Source organism: Homo sapiens, chromosome 2 (genome assembly GCF_000001405.40).
Source record: "Homo sapiens chromosome 2, GRCh38.p14 Primary Assembly".
NCBI lineage: Eukaryota > Metazoa > Chordata > Mammalia > Primates > Hominidae > Homo > Homo sapiens.
The window spans coordinates 9,736,926-9,751,176 of record NC_000002.12 but is presented as its reverse complement, the minus strand read 5'-3'; the positions used below and the strand labels follow the sequence as shown (position 1 = coordinate 9,751,176).

The window sequence follows — 14,251 nt, the reverse complement described above, 5'->3', positions numbered from 1 at the left end:
ACTAAGAGCAACCAGAAACGTAATAGGATTGCCTGAGTTTGCAGCAGTGGCCGAGAAGAGGTGATTCCCCTGACTAAATCAGGACAGAGGAAGGAGTTGCTTTGTGATTTGATCCTGAAAGTGCTGCTAATTCAACGCATTGGCCACATTTGGTCTGTAGGCACAAGGCCAGGGTTGAGAGAGCTGCTGATGGGGGACCTGTGATGGCCTGGAGCCCAGCCCAGCCTGTCAGCTGTAGGTGGGACTTCCCAGACCCGTCCAACCCAAAGCTCCACCACAGAGAGGAGACAGCCATGAACTTGAGTACAGGTAAAACAAAGCAGAATTAGTGAGTGCTACCATCAACCTACATGCTGAACACTGGGGAGAATAGAGGAGGAAGCCACGAGTCTGACAGGGGTGAGGAAGGGTGGAAACCAAGGAGGGCTGCTCTGAGGAGGTGACACTTAAACTGGGCCTTGAAGGGAGAATTTCAACAAGCAGAGAAAGGAAATCATTTTTTGTGAGTTTTTAGGGTACTCCCTCCAGTAACTCCCCTCTCCCCCAACTCAAATGGACTATTGTGATATGGCCAGAACAAAGCTAGGCACTTTCTTATCTAGATTTTTCCATTTCACATGCAAAAGAGAAAAAAAAAATCACCTCTGATTTTTCTCCTTGGGATGTTTCATTCTAAAAAACTAATTCATTCAACATTTATTTATTAAGCACCAACTACATACCAGGCACGATTAGCATTCTGTGTTTTAACTCACTTATCCTCCGTAGTCCATGGAGGTGCGTACCAGTATTATCCCCATTTTACAGATGAAGCAACTGATGGACAGAGAGATTAAGTAACTTGCCCAAAGTCTCACAGCAAGTACCTGCAGAGCTGGGATTTGGGCCCAACTCTAATAGTTGGGGTCCAGAGTCTGAGAGCTGCACCATTACTGTCCGTGGCCCTTTCTTTCATGGAAAACTCAGGGCGATTGGCCATTTGCAAAGGAGGAAGAAAATGCACCTGCCGCTTCTTTGATCATCTTCCATGAACAGGTGCAATACTTCCCCGGGTCTGAGGCCAGTTCCTCAGTTCATTCATCCCACCTGTTCCATGAACAGGTGCAATACTTCCCCAGTTCATTCCATGCCACCACAACTGGCTTCATGGCTCTAGTTTGTGGTCAAAGCATCTGCTCCCACCACTTCTGGGGCTAAACTGGGAAAAGCGAAAGCCAATGTAGCAGGCCTGGGGCAAGGGCTGATCTCTCCTGGAAACCAGGAGACAGCTTGGAGAGCTTGGGCTCCAGACAGGTATCTATCACAGGCCAGTTGGGCTTCCCTTGCAGAACCTATGGGAACCTGCAGGATGAATTAGCTAAAACTCCCCGTGGCCACTCCAATGCTAAAAGCCATATAGCTGGTCCTCTCAGCCTCCCGTGACTTCTCTCTTGTCCACATGCCCCGCTGGGTCCTCCCAGCCACCCGTGCCCTGCCATGCAATCAGGCGTCCAGCTCCTGCTGACCTTCCTGTCTCCCCTCCATCACCTTATTTCAGGTCCTCAGCATTTCTCACCCAAGCAGTTGCAATAACTTCCTAACCAGTTTCCCAGTCTCCAGGCCTGCCACCCCCTAACTCCCAATTCATTTCTTAAAGTGAAGCTTTATTGTACAGCTTCCCCTCTGAAGAAACTTTGGTGGCTCCCCAATATCCTACTGAAATAAGTATAAACTGCTCAACTTGGCAATCAAGCTCGCGTTCATCCATCCCAGGCCACCAGCCCCCTCTCTTACTGATCCCCTCCACCTCCTCTGATCTGTCCTTACCCATCCCCTTGCTGCCCCTACCCCCCACGATCAGCCCCACAGCTTTCTCTCCACCTCTCCATGTCTGAATCTGTTATGATCCAGCTCAAGAAAGACTTCTTGGACCATCCTAGATGAAAGCAATCACTTGCTTTGAATTTCTGAGGCTCCTTTCATCAGGTATATATTGCCTTGTTTGATTCTCCAGACACCCATGAGTTGCCTAATGCCACCCTGGTGTTCTTCTCCCTGCCCTACATAGGCTGGGCACAGAGGCAGTGAGAACAGCATGACACAGGCTTTGGGACCACCAAGCTCTAGCTCTGTCATTTGCAAACAGCTTTACCTGGAGTAAGTCTTGAAATACCTCCTGTAACATTTCCTCTTCTGTTAAGTAGGAATAGAAAACTACTTCCCACGCTCTACGAGAATTAAATGGGGGCAATGCATGTAAATGCTCAACAAATGACTAGGACGAGAAGGGAAGGCCCAAGGCAGATAACCTCCCCTCTGTTCTTTCACATTCGCATCTATAGTTTCACAGGGTTTTTTTCCTCCTAGTAAAATTAGATCCTGACACATATTCAAGGAACACTCTGCAGCTGTTTCTCCAAGAACAGAGAGCCTGGGGATGCCCCATCTTCAGCCCATCAAGCCCCAAGTGCTTAGTCACCTGCTTAGCCCAGACATGAGGGATGCCATAAAGAAAAGCAAACAATAACACACCCGTGACAAAGCCATTTACTAAATTAGTAGGGGCAGGGAGCATACAACCCTGAAAGAGCGATTAAACCTTGCATTTGCTCCAAGCCTATTCCTTTTCCACATCTGCATTTGCCAGGTCATCTCTTCCTGACAGTCTTATCCTTTTTGTGCCATGGACCCCTTTGGTAGTTTGGTGGCTGCCAATAATGAATCAAATAAAATAATACATAGAATTACTGTCTTAATCTGTATTCTGTTGCTACAACAGAATATCACAGACTGGGTAATTTGTTTTTTTAAAGAAAGGTTATTTAGCTCACCGTTCTGGAGGCTAGGAAGTCCAAGAACATGGCACCAGCCCTTGGCGAGGGCCTTTGTGCTGCATGACGATGCATCCCAGCAAAGGACATGGTGACAGAGCAAGAGCAAGATAGCCAGAGAGCTCCATTTTATAACAAAATCACTCCTGTGATAATGAACCTACTCCTATGATAGTGACATTGATCCATTCATAAAGGCAAAGCCCTCATGAATCCATTAATCCATTCAAGAGGGCAAAGGGATTAGGTTTCTAAAGCCCTAACTTCTGGGGGACACATTCAAAACATAGCAATTATGAAATAAACCAGCTACTATATGTTGAAAGACAGTGGCTCATGCCCTTAATCCCAGCACTTTGGGAACCTGAGGCGAGAGGATCACTTAAGCCCAAGAATTCAAGGTTGCAGTGAGCTGTGATCACACTGCACTCCAGCTGGCAACAAAGTGAGACCCTGTCTCCGTACATACATACATACATACATACATAAAATATATTTCTGAAAAGCTGAGGAGTCTGTGAGAATTGAAATTAAGTAGGCAGGGTTTATCCTCAAGCCTGATGTGACTTCTGTCTGAGTTGTAGAATAAGGGGCCACGTTTAAAACTAAGTAAGAACTAACAGGCAGCTTCATAAACATTTCAGAATCCCGTGACCCATGAAGTGAAGTGAATTGACTCTCTGGGGGTAGGGGAGGGGTCTCTGAAGATGCTGTGACCATCAGCCACATCTTCCCCAGGGCTGGGGGCATGAGCAGCCTTGGCCAAGCGGGGGGACATCCCAGTGCCAGGCCCTGGGATAGAGACACAAACCCACTGTGACACCTTTCACTCCAACAGACCTGCTGCATTCTGTGCTGTGCAGGGCCAGCTTCATGCCCATGTGACCTGCAGAGTTGTACAGAGCCCCGCACTTCCAAGGCTCCTGTAATTAGTTTAATGTTGTCATCATGTTAAAAAAATTTTTTTTATTTTTTGAGATGGGGTCTTTCCGTCGCCCAGGCTGGAGTGCAGTGGTGCAATCATGGCTCACTGCAGCCTCCACCTCCCCAGCTCAAGTAACCCTCCCTCCTCAGCCTCCCAAGTAGCTGGGACTACAGGTACATGCCAACACACCCAGCTAATTTTTAAATTTTTTGTTGAAATGGAGTCTCACTCACTACATCGCCCAGGCTGGTCTCAAACTCCTGGACTCAAGTGATCCTCCCACCTTAGCCTCCCAAAGCACTGAGATTACAGGCATGAGCCACTGAGCCCTGCCAAAATTCCTAATAATTTTTGAACAAGGGGCCACACATTTCATTTGGCACTGGGCCTCCCAAACTGTGTAGCCTGGTCCTGATGCCATGACAGGAGGTTTGCCTTGTGGGTCACAGGAGGAACACTCTGCCTTCCAGAACCCCTGAGATCAGGGGGGGCAGGTTAACATGAGGACGGGTCCTTTGGATAACTGGCTGAGCCTCCCCAGGTGAGAGTTCCACACCAAGGACTTAGGACTAGGCCTAGGACTAAAATGGTAATTAGTACGAGAGCTGTGCTTATTATTAATTTGAGGTTGTTTGTTTGGAAAGCTCATGGTAAAGGCAACAGTAGGGCGATGTCTAGATCAAAGAAGAGGAATGTAATGGCCACCAGGAAAAACTTTATAGAAAAGGGGGGTTGCCTGGATTATCTGGCACTGCCCCAGGAAAAGCTTGGGAGCAGATGGCTCTCCCACCCCCACTCAGAGTAGACGACAACTCCTTGGGCTGCCCAGACTGAGGGAAATGTCACTTAAGAGTGGCCAGGCCTCTCTGCTTGGATTCTATGCTCCAGGGGGGCGCCCAGTGATCCCATTTCCCGGCCCTCACAGCCTGCTCTTGGAGTGTGGACTCAACTCAGTAAATACAGCCACAGTGATGGGATGTCACTTCTGAGGTTAGGTTATAAAGGACACAGCAGCTTCTGTTTTAGTGGCACTGTCACTTGCTCATTACCAAATCACTTACTCTGGGGAGTCAACTGCCCTGGAGACACCTATGTGGAGTCTGGAGGTGGCTGGGGGTCCTTGGGGGCCCTAGCCAACAGCCATCCTGGAACTGAGGACACCAGCCACCAGCCATGGGAGTTCCCCATCTTAGAAATGGATCCTCCGGCCTTCCGGGATTTCAATGATGCAGATCTAGCCAACGACTTGACTGCAGCCTCGCAGGAGAGTCCGAGCCAGAGGTACCAGCTAAGCTGGGCTTCCGACCCTCAGAAATTGTGTAAGATCATAAAGCTGTTGTAAGCTGCTAGGTTTTGGGGTACTCACTATGGGTCCATAGGTAATGCATCAGCCTCCAATTTCTCACTGCCCTACCCCCACCCCCAGCGGTCCTGAGCCCCTAGAAGAAGAGCCGGGACGTGATCCACGTGGTCACTCCAGCATGGCCAAGCACAGGCAAGCATCTGCAGACTTCTGGAAGGAATTGCGGCGAAGCATCTTCGAAGGATGTTAGAGGCCCCCAGGTGAAGATAGAACCAGAGGATAGGATTTGCTTCAGTAAAGGTGATTGGGATCATTGTTTTCTTCTTCAGGTGCTCTGGCCAGGGAAAAGATGAAATTCACACCTGTTATATTCACTTATCAGCTTAATTCTCTCCAGGTAAATATTATGAAGTTGTAATATGATCCTGTGGCCCCTGTTCAAGAATTTCGGCTCATGCCTGTAATCTCAACACTTTGGAAGGCCAAGGTGGCAGGATCACTTGAACGAGACTCTGTCACTATAAAAAAATTTTTAAATTAGGTGGGTGTGATGGTGTGCAGCTATAGTCCCAGCTACTCTGGAGGCTGAGGTGGGAGGATTGCTTGAGCCCAGGAGATCAAGGCTTATCTAATATTTACAAAGCACCTACTAAGTACCATGCACCTAATCCTTATAAAAGCCCTGGGAGGTGAAATTGCCAATCTCATTTTTGGATGAAGAAACTGAAGTCAGAGGACAAGGAAGTTGCCAGGGTTGCAAAGCTAGTGAGTGGTCCAAAAGGAATGCACACCCAATGTGCCCTGATTCCCAGTTCTAGGCCTTTCCATGGCACTGTGCTTCTTCACACAGTGGGTGTGGGGAGGAAAGGGGATGGCGGTAACAGGGGGAGGCACCACTTCTCTAAGGTGGTGGGAAGGGAGAGACATTTCTGGATTCATGAGGACACCTGTTGGCTTTCTCCTTGGACCCTTTCCCCTCCTGCTGCAAAATAGACAGGACACTCACAGGGGACCAAGAGTCAGGGCAGCCACCAGCGCCAATGGTGCTGCCTGCAGAAGGGGCTGAGCTGGGCTAAAGGCCCCACTGAGGTGGCCCAGGGAGTGACCTTGAAGATAGAAGTCGGCAGAAGAGGGGGATGGGGAGGACTGTGGTGGGGAAAAGACAGACCTTTGTTCTCAGGTGCTCCAGGAGGGATAACAGGACTGTGAGGTGCGGTGACAGGAAGGCAGGGTCGCAGGCAGGGTCACAGGCAGCATAGCTGTCGGCTTTCCAAAAATCAGAGCTGCCTGTAGACAGGCTCCCCTGGAGGCGGGAGCTCCTGTGGCAGGTGTGGACTCCAGCTTGCACAGCCTCCTGCCGGGATTGCAGAGGGGTCACCCTCCAGTGGGACAGGCTTCCAACATTCTTCAGACACTTTCTTAACATTTTATGAAACCATTTTATTACAAAGCCTCACATGATCATGATTAGGCTTTTAGTATCCGTAATTGAGAAAATGTGCAAGAATGAAAAGCCACTATAAATTTCACATTGCCTTTCCAAGGATATATTTTATTGAATATGACAGCATCTGCAGATGTGTTTAAAATGGTCATAAGTACAGGGCAAGGCTTGGACTGGGGCCAATCCTCCGTCGGGCAGAGAATCATGGGGCAAAGGACCTGGTGGTGAACACCTCCCCCACTAGACCAGTAGCCGGGTGGCTTGGGGCTGCATCTCTGCTGAGTCCCTGAGCAGATCAAGACCGGCTTCAGTTCCTGTCCCGGTGCCAGAGGACCCCTCCTACAGCAGCCTGCCCCAGGAGAAGAGTTCTTCCTGCAGGAAGTTCATGGTTCCCAGGCAACCCTCAACAAAGCCGGATCCCTGCAGATGACCCCTCTCAGCCTGCCCACCCAGAAAGGGAGCCCACAGCCCCTGGACTGGCCACCCCCACCATCGTCCGACCTGCTGAGGGATGTGATGAGAACAACTGTTTTACACTGAGGCCTTGTCACATGCCAGGTGCCTTGTCAAGCTCTTTGCATGCAGTAGCTGATTTACACCTCCATTACCTGGGTAGGATTATTCACCTCATTCTACCGACATGGAAACTGAGGCACAGAGAGGCTACGTTACCTGCCCAAGGGAATATAACTAATAAATAGCAAAGCTAAGGTTTTCATTCAGACACAGACAACTCTGGAGCCTGTGCTGTTCATCTCTAGGCAGGAATAAACTAAGAATTTGGGGCGTTTTATGCTGCAAGTATTGAAAAGCCTAAAACTCCCCAACCCAGTGGACATTCCCTGTGGCTGCTGTGAGGAGGAACCACAAACTGAATGGCTTAGAACAGCACAAACGTGTCCCCTCACACACTGGAGGCTAGAAATCTGACATAGGAATGTCAACGGGGCTGTGATCCTGCTGAAGGCTCTAGGGGAGGACCCTTCCTGACTTTTGTAGCTTCTGGTGTCATCAGCAGCCGCTGGCATTCCCTGGTTTGCAGGTGCCTCACTTCAGTCTCTGCCTCCCTGTGTGGCTCTCTCCCTGGTGTGTGGTGTCTCTGTCTCTTCTCCTCTTCATATGACATCAATCTTTTTTGGAGTTAGGGTCTGCCTTACTCCAGTATGACTCCATCTTCACTAATCACATCTGCAATGACCCTATTTCCAAATAAGGTCACACTCTGAGGTTCATGAAGAACATGAATTCTGGGGGGACGCTATGCAATCCAATGCACCCAACAATATCATTCAAGATAAAAATAGTCAACAACTTTATAAGAAGTGTAAGAAAAGTCCAGAAGGCTTCTAATTTTTTTCCTATGATGAATTTGATTTTTAAAAACAATTTTTGGTCAGGTGTGGTGGCTCATGCCTGTAATTGCAGCATTTGGGAGGCCGAGGCAGGAGGATCACTTGAGGCCAGGAGTTTGAGACTAGCTGGGGCAACATGGCAAAACCCTGTCTCTACTAAAAATACAAAAATTAGCTGGGCGTGGTGGTGCGCACCTGTAGTCCCAGCTACTCGGGAGGCTGAGACAGGACAATCCCTTGAACCCAGGAGGCGGAGGATGCAGTGAGCCGGGATCTAGCAAATGAACTCCAGTCTGGGTGACAGAACTCCGTCTCAAAAAAACCCAAACAATTTTTGTCAGGAAAAAAAATGTTTTCACTGTTGTTGCTGGCCTTGCTGGTGCCCTAAGCGCATGCTCACTCAGCCTCTTGGAAGCCATCATGGAGGAATGGTGACACTCAAGAAAGTGTGTCCTCTCAGTGAGCAGCCCCAGGCAGGGGCGGTAGAGCAGTTTCCACAGCCCCTCTTCCTGGGACCCCGCTCGTCCCAGCACCACTTGGCCTCATTGAGGACTGCTGTCCTGGCTTTCTCACTGTTCACATGTTGCCAGCAAAGCTGCCAGCTCTCTCAGACCCCACGTGTGGCTGCAGACCCCTGGCCCCAGCTGGACATCTGGAACTTAGGACCAAGACATGTCAGTTCAGTCTTAACTAATAACTTGAATGGAGAAGCTGCATTTTTTTTTTTTTTTTTTTGAGACAGAGTTTCGCTCTTGTCACCCAGGCTGGAGTGCAGTGGTGAGATCTCGGCTCACTGCAACCTCCACTTCCTGGGTTCAAGTGATTCCCCTGCCTCAGCCTCCCGAGTAGCTGGGACTACAGGCGCCTGCCACCATGCCCGGCTAATTTTTTGTATTTTTAGTAGAGACAGCGTTTCACCATGTTGGCCAGGCTGCTCTTGAACTCCTGAAGTCAGGTGATCCACCTGCCTCAGCCTCCCAAAGCGTTGGGATTACGAGAAGCTAAATTTTGGGAGCAGTGGTGACTACATGTCATGCCACATGGACAGAGAAGGAGGAAAATCTCATCTCCAGGAAAAGAAAAATGCAGATTCACAAAGAGAAGCCAGGATGAGACTCAGGTGGAGCCGAACCATGAGTTCCCATTGCTCCTGAAAGCCAGCTCAGTTCTTACCCTCAGATTCTGGGAGACACCCCCAAATCCTTACAAGAATTCCCCTTTGCAGTTTGAAGATGGATTTCTGGAACCTGTAACTAAAATAGTCCCAACAACTGACCCCACCCATAAACCAAGCACAGGTGCAGGCCAGAGGCACAGCTGAGTGCCTCCTCCAAGTGGCATCTCCAGTGACCTTACACTGGTTCCTGAGATGGCCCCAAGTGAAGTACAGCAAAGGAAACCTCAGGACAAGACATGTCCCGATCCATCACTGGAGCCTGAGGTCCTCTTTCTGGTTAAACACGTGAGGCAGGTGCTACTCTTCTCCTTCCTGTATGGATGAGAAGGGCTCAAAGGGTTAAGTAACATGATTGAGGTAACACCAAGGTGAGTACATTTGCCTTAGTCCATTTGCATTGCCATAAAGGATATACCTGAGCCTGGGTAACTTATAAAGAAAAGAGGTTTCTTTGGCTCATGGTTCTGCAGACTGTACAACAAGCATGGTGCCAGCATCTGCCTCTGGTGAGGGCTTCAGGCTGCTTCCACTCATGGCAGAAGGCAAAGGGAAGCCGGTATGTGTAAGAATCACATGGGGAGAGGGAAAGCCAGAGAGAGGAGGAGGAGGTTCCAGGCTCTTTAAACAACCAGCCTTTGAGGGAACTAATAGACCAAGAACCTACTCATTATAACAAGGACAAGGACAGTACCAAGACCTTCATGAGGGATTTGTCCCCATGACCCAAACACCTCCCATAGGCCCCCACCTCCAGTATCGGGGATCAAATTTCAACATGAGGTTTCGGGAGACAAATATCCAAACCACAGTAGCATTACAGCCAGAATTCCAAGTGTGGCTGACTCCAGCCGGTGTATCTGTTGTTGTTCACACGTTACACCCATGAGTCGTCATCCATGCCACCTACTACCAGTGGACAATGACCTCGTGGTGCATGTACCCTCAGTGATCCATCTGGCCACTGCAGAGACAGGTGAGCTTGAAAAGGGGCCACCATGGCCACAAATCAGAAAATGCAGGATCACAAATGGAATTGTGGGATACAATTCTTTGGCATAGAAAGGGCCAGGCAAAATTATGACACAGTGCATTAATAATTAATTAGTGCTTAATCAGGAGCTCTACATAGCAGTTCATTACCCAAGGACACTCCCCATTATAACTGTAGCAAATGGGTCTGGGCAGGCAGCCCTGCCAGCCTCTTTTGAGGCTCACCAGTGACTTTGAGGCTCCCCTTCCAGGGCTGAGGTCACTAACCTCCCCTAGACCTGGCGACCAGTAGCTGGTGTAAGAGGTCCCCAAGAACAGGGGTGATCTGACTCACCCTGGAGAAATTTAAGACACGCTGGGAAGGCAGAGCCCTTGCTTAAAAATAACTCCTCAGATTTCTGCAGTGGCGGTACCATAGCCAATGAGGTTTGCCTGAGACATGATTATTGCTAATTGAAAACTTTTCCCTATAGCTTGTCATGACAACTTGAAATATAATTGGCATCGAGAATTTTTGAGACTCTCTACAGAGGCTGAACAACCAAAAAAACATAAAAATTTAACTCCTCCTCAGCTTCACTTTGGCACAATGCCAGAAGGACCTCTATTAAGTTGTGCACATTTGTGCAGCCCCCCACCCCCCAACTTCAAATACAAATGCCCATCAGGGAGCTAAAACCTTCTGCATTCGTTGGTTGGAGGAGTCCCCACTAGGGTATGAGTGTTGAGGGTGTAGGGGCAGGAACCACATGTGAGTCGTTGTTGTATTTGCCACACTATGTGACAGGTGGGTGGATGGATAGATGGGTGGATGGGTGGGTGGGTGGGTGGGTGGGTGGGTGGATGGGTGAATAGATGGGTGGATGGGTGGGTGGATGGGTGGATGGATGGGTGGATGGATGGGTGGATGGGTGGGTGAATGGATGGGTGGGTGGGTGGGTAGATGGATGGATGGATGGGTGGGTGGATGGATGGGTGGGTGGGTGGGTGGATGGATGAGTGGATGGATGGTAGGATGGATGGATGGGTGGGTGGATGGATGGGTGGGTGGATGGGTAGATGGATGGATGGATGGATGGATGGGTGGGTGGGTGGGTGGATGGATGAGTGGATGAATGGATGGATGGGTGGGTGGGTTGATGGAGAGACAGGAGTGAAAAATACACAACAGAGGGAGAGGAAAATCACAGTCTATCCTTGCTTGTTTCCAGCAAAGAAGAACGTAGCTCCTGACTGGCTGCCACATATGTGTCTGAGCAGCGAGTTCCAGGGACCTTCTCAGTGATGCCGATGGCCTCTCCAGGCAAATAGCGCAGGCCTGGCCGGTATCCAGAAGGAACTCCAGGCTGCCTCTCCTTCCCGGACGCACACCCTCCCCTGGGGAAAGACCCCAGACAGAGCCCGCGGGGCCTACAAATAGCAGAGTCCCTGGCTCTGAGCACAGGCAACGGAGAGGGGACGGGAAACGGGACTCGGGCGCCAAGTCACTCCCCTGCCTCGCCCTGGCGGAAGGGCAGGCGTCACACCTCTAGGAGGAAGGCAGATGTGAGAGGGCTGAGCCCTTCCGGGGGCTCAGAGGATCAAAGGCACTGACATCCTAAGAGAATTGGAAACCAGAAACAGGGCCGGGCGCGGTAGCGCACGCCTGTAATCCCAGCACTTTGGGAGGCCGAGGCGGGCGGATCACGACAGAGCGAGACTCCGTATCAAAAAAAAAAAAAAGAAAAAACAAAATAGAAACCGGAAACAGGATGAGCTGGGTCTGCAGAAGCGGCGTGTGGGACCCATTCCCCGCAAGGGCTTTGTGGATAGGAACCCAGCACAGACTTCCCTCTTATCAACAGGACCGAGGCATGAGAACACGAGGGTCAGCCTGGGCTCCCTGACCGCAGTCTCCTCAGAAGGGAGTCTGGACAGCGAGTCTTGCCTCTGCTGCTCCTCTGGGGCCTCCTGATGCCTGGCAGGGAGAGGAGCCACCGTGTGAGGGTTTCTGAAATTAAACTGTTCTCAGAGTCGCAGCTGTCAGGAAGGGACAGCAAGAGCCAGCTGACAGGAGCCTGAATCTTTCCAACGCAATCCATCTAGGATGGGAAAAGAAAGACCAATTTCCAGCCTTGCCAGACTCCTAGGGATGGGCTGAGCATGCAGACTCTGTCACTCACCAGCCGCTGACCTTGGCCAAGCACCTCATTGTCTCTGAGTCTTGGTTTCCTTATTCATAAAACGATAAAAGTCCTGATCTCACAAGGCTGATGTGGGAGCCAGAAATAGCGATGCTGTGTGACAGGCCCGCAACCCTTCCAGTTCCTCTCCCTCACCAGCAAGCCAGAGGCCTGTTTTATTCAGGGTTTCTGGCAGCCACATGCTTCAGGAGAAGCAGGACTCCCTGGGAGCCTAGCACAGTGTCTTGATTGGTCTAAGCCAGTCACGGTGACCCAGTGATTAGTTTATGAACGGGCGTGTAACTTCATTCTGACTAACAAGACACGAGAGGAAGTGTCTGGATGAATTTGGGGAAAGTTTCCCTTACTCTTAAAAAAAGAGCTATAAAGAAGGGGCTTTCTCTCTTTCTGACCTTTGGGTGTGGTTGGGTGAGAACATGATACTTAGAACTGCTGCAGCCATATTGTGACATAAAGGGATAATACCCAACATAAAAGCCAAGAGGCTAACGATGGCAGAGTGTCGAGATGAAAAGAAGCCAAGTCCTTGGTGACAGCCTTGAGCGGTTGAATTAATTTCCCTTGGGATGTCCCCAACTTGAGACATCTCATTAAGTGAGAGAATGCTGTCCCAAGGTCAGAGACACGGGACAGTGGGGGTCAGGGGCAAAGGCTCTAGAGCTTGACTGCCCAATCCACCACCACTACTACTGAGGACTTTTGGCTTGTTTATTTTCTCTCTCTTCTCAGTTTCCTCATCTGTGAAATGGGGATGGTGATAATAACCGTATCTGGTTTATGAGATCATTGTGAGGATTTAAGGGGTTAATGTGTAGAAAGTATTCAAATCGCGTCTGGCACATGGTAAGTGTCATGTAAGTGTCAGCTATGACTATTGCAAGCCATTTTGACTTTTTCTGTTATTTATATCTCAAAGTATCCTCTTAAAGTCCTCATGGAATAGGTGCTTGGTCAGTAGTAGCTGTGTGTTCACAAGTTTCTGGGCTGAACAACTGTGTGCGCCACTGTATGTGCACAGAGATAGTACTAATGCAAATGTCCCAAGGAGCTTCTCGAGTGGACATCACTGGACTCCTGCACCCCATCCCCAAGGGGAGCTTCTGCAGGAGGGGAATAAGCAGAAAGCAGGAGAAGGCATTCCAAAGTGCCTGGTGGGGACTGGGGGAGTGGAAGTGGGGGGCACTAGGAGGAGTGGGGAGTACCAGAGGAAGTGGGGGGCACTAGGGGGAGTGGGAGGTACTAGGGGGAGTCAGGGGTACTAGAGGGAATGGGGGTACTAGGAGGAGTGGGGGGCACTGGGGGAGTGGGAGGTACTGGGGGAGTAGGGGGCACTAGAAGGAGTGGGGGTTACTAGGACGAGTGGGGGTACTAGAGGGAGTAGGGGGTACTAGGGGGAGTGGGGGATAGTGGGGGAGCCAGGGGTACTAGAGGAAGTGAGGGGTTACTGGGGGAGTGAGGAGTACTAGAGGGAGTAGGGCACTAGGGGGAGTAGGGGGTACTAGAGGAAGTGGGGGGTACTAGGGTGAGTAGGGCACTAGGGGGAGTTGTGGGACATTTGGACAGAGGCCAAATGCACAAAACCTATTCCAGAAAGAGCCAATACACTGGCTCAGCTGAAGAAGAGCCTGGGGATGGAAGAGCAAGGAGAGACAGTCCCGGAAGTGCAGGCAAGGCTGAGAACGGGCCGGCCTCGAATGATGAAGCGTTAGGATTCCGTCTTACAGGGCAGCAACACCAAAGGTTTCTGAGCAGGGCAGCCTCGGCAGTGTGGCTCAGGGGAAGAGCTGCTCACCATCTGCATTCATCTGCTCAGGCTGCCATAATACAACACCACAGGCTGGGAGCTTAGGCAACAGAAATCTATTTCCAAACCAGTCCTATTGGATTAGGTAACTGAGGTCACACTTATAACCGCCATTAACATTAGTTACCTCCATAAAGGCCCTATCTCCAAATACAGTCAGTCCTGGGTAGGATCTTCAATGCGTGCATTTGGGAGACAATTTGGTCCACAGCACCATCACTCTTTGGGATGAGCTCTAGAGGTGGATGTGGGAAACAGACACC

At 50.1% G+C, this 14,251-nt stretch overlaps 1 pseudogene, besides 4 other annotated features; it reads left to right on the top strand.

Moving 5' to 3' along the window:
* Positions 3 to 72: an enhancer, noted in NCBI's record as "active region_15293". NCBI's record gives its function as "activates an Ori minimal core promoter by ATAC-STARR-seq in GM12878 lymphoblastoid cells {active_cell/tissue: GM12878}" and the evidence as "EXISTENCE:reporter gene assay evidence [ECO:0000049][PMID:35858748]".
* Positions 373 to 452: an enhancer, noted in NCBI's record as "active region_15292". NCBI's record gives its function as "activates an Ori minimal core promoter by ATAC-STARR-seq in GM12878 lymphoblastoid cells {active_cell/tissue: GM12878}" and the evidence as "EXISTENCE:reporter gene assay evidence [ECO:0000049][PMID:35858748]".
* Positions 2,300 to 2,379: an enhancer, noted in NCBI's record as "active region_15291". NCBI's record gives its function as "activates an Ori minimal core promoter by ATAC-STARR-seq in GM12878 lymphoblastoid cells {active_cell/tissue: GM12878}" and the evidence as "EXISTENCE:reporter gene assay evidence [ECO:0000049][PMID:35858748]".
* On the top strand, positions 10,394 to 10,534 carry RNU4-73P (RNA, U4 small nuclear 73, pseudogene; annotated as a pseudogene).
* Positions 12,592 to 12,691: an enhancer, noted in NCBI's record as "active region_15290". NCBI's record gives its function as "activates an Ori minimal core promoter by ATAC-STARR-seq in GM12878 lymphoblastoid cells {active_cell/tissue: GM12878}" and the evidence as "EXISTENCE:reporter gene assay evidence [ECO:0000049][PMID:35858748]".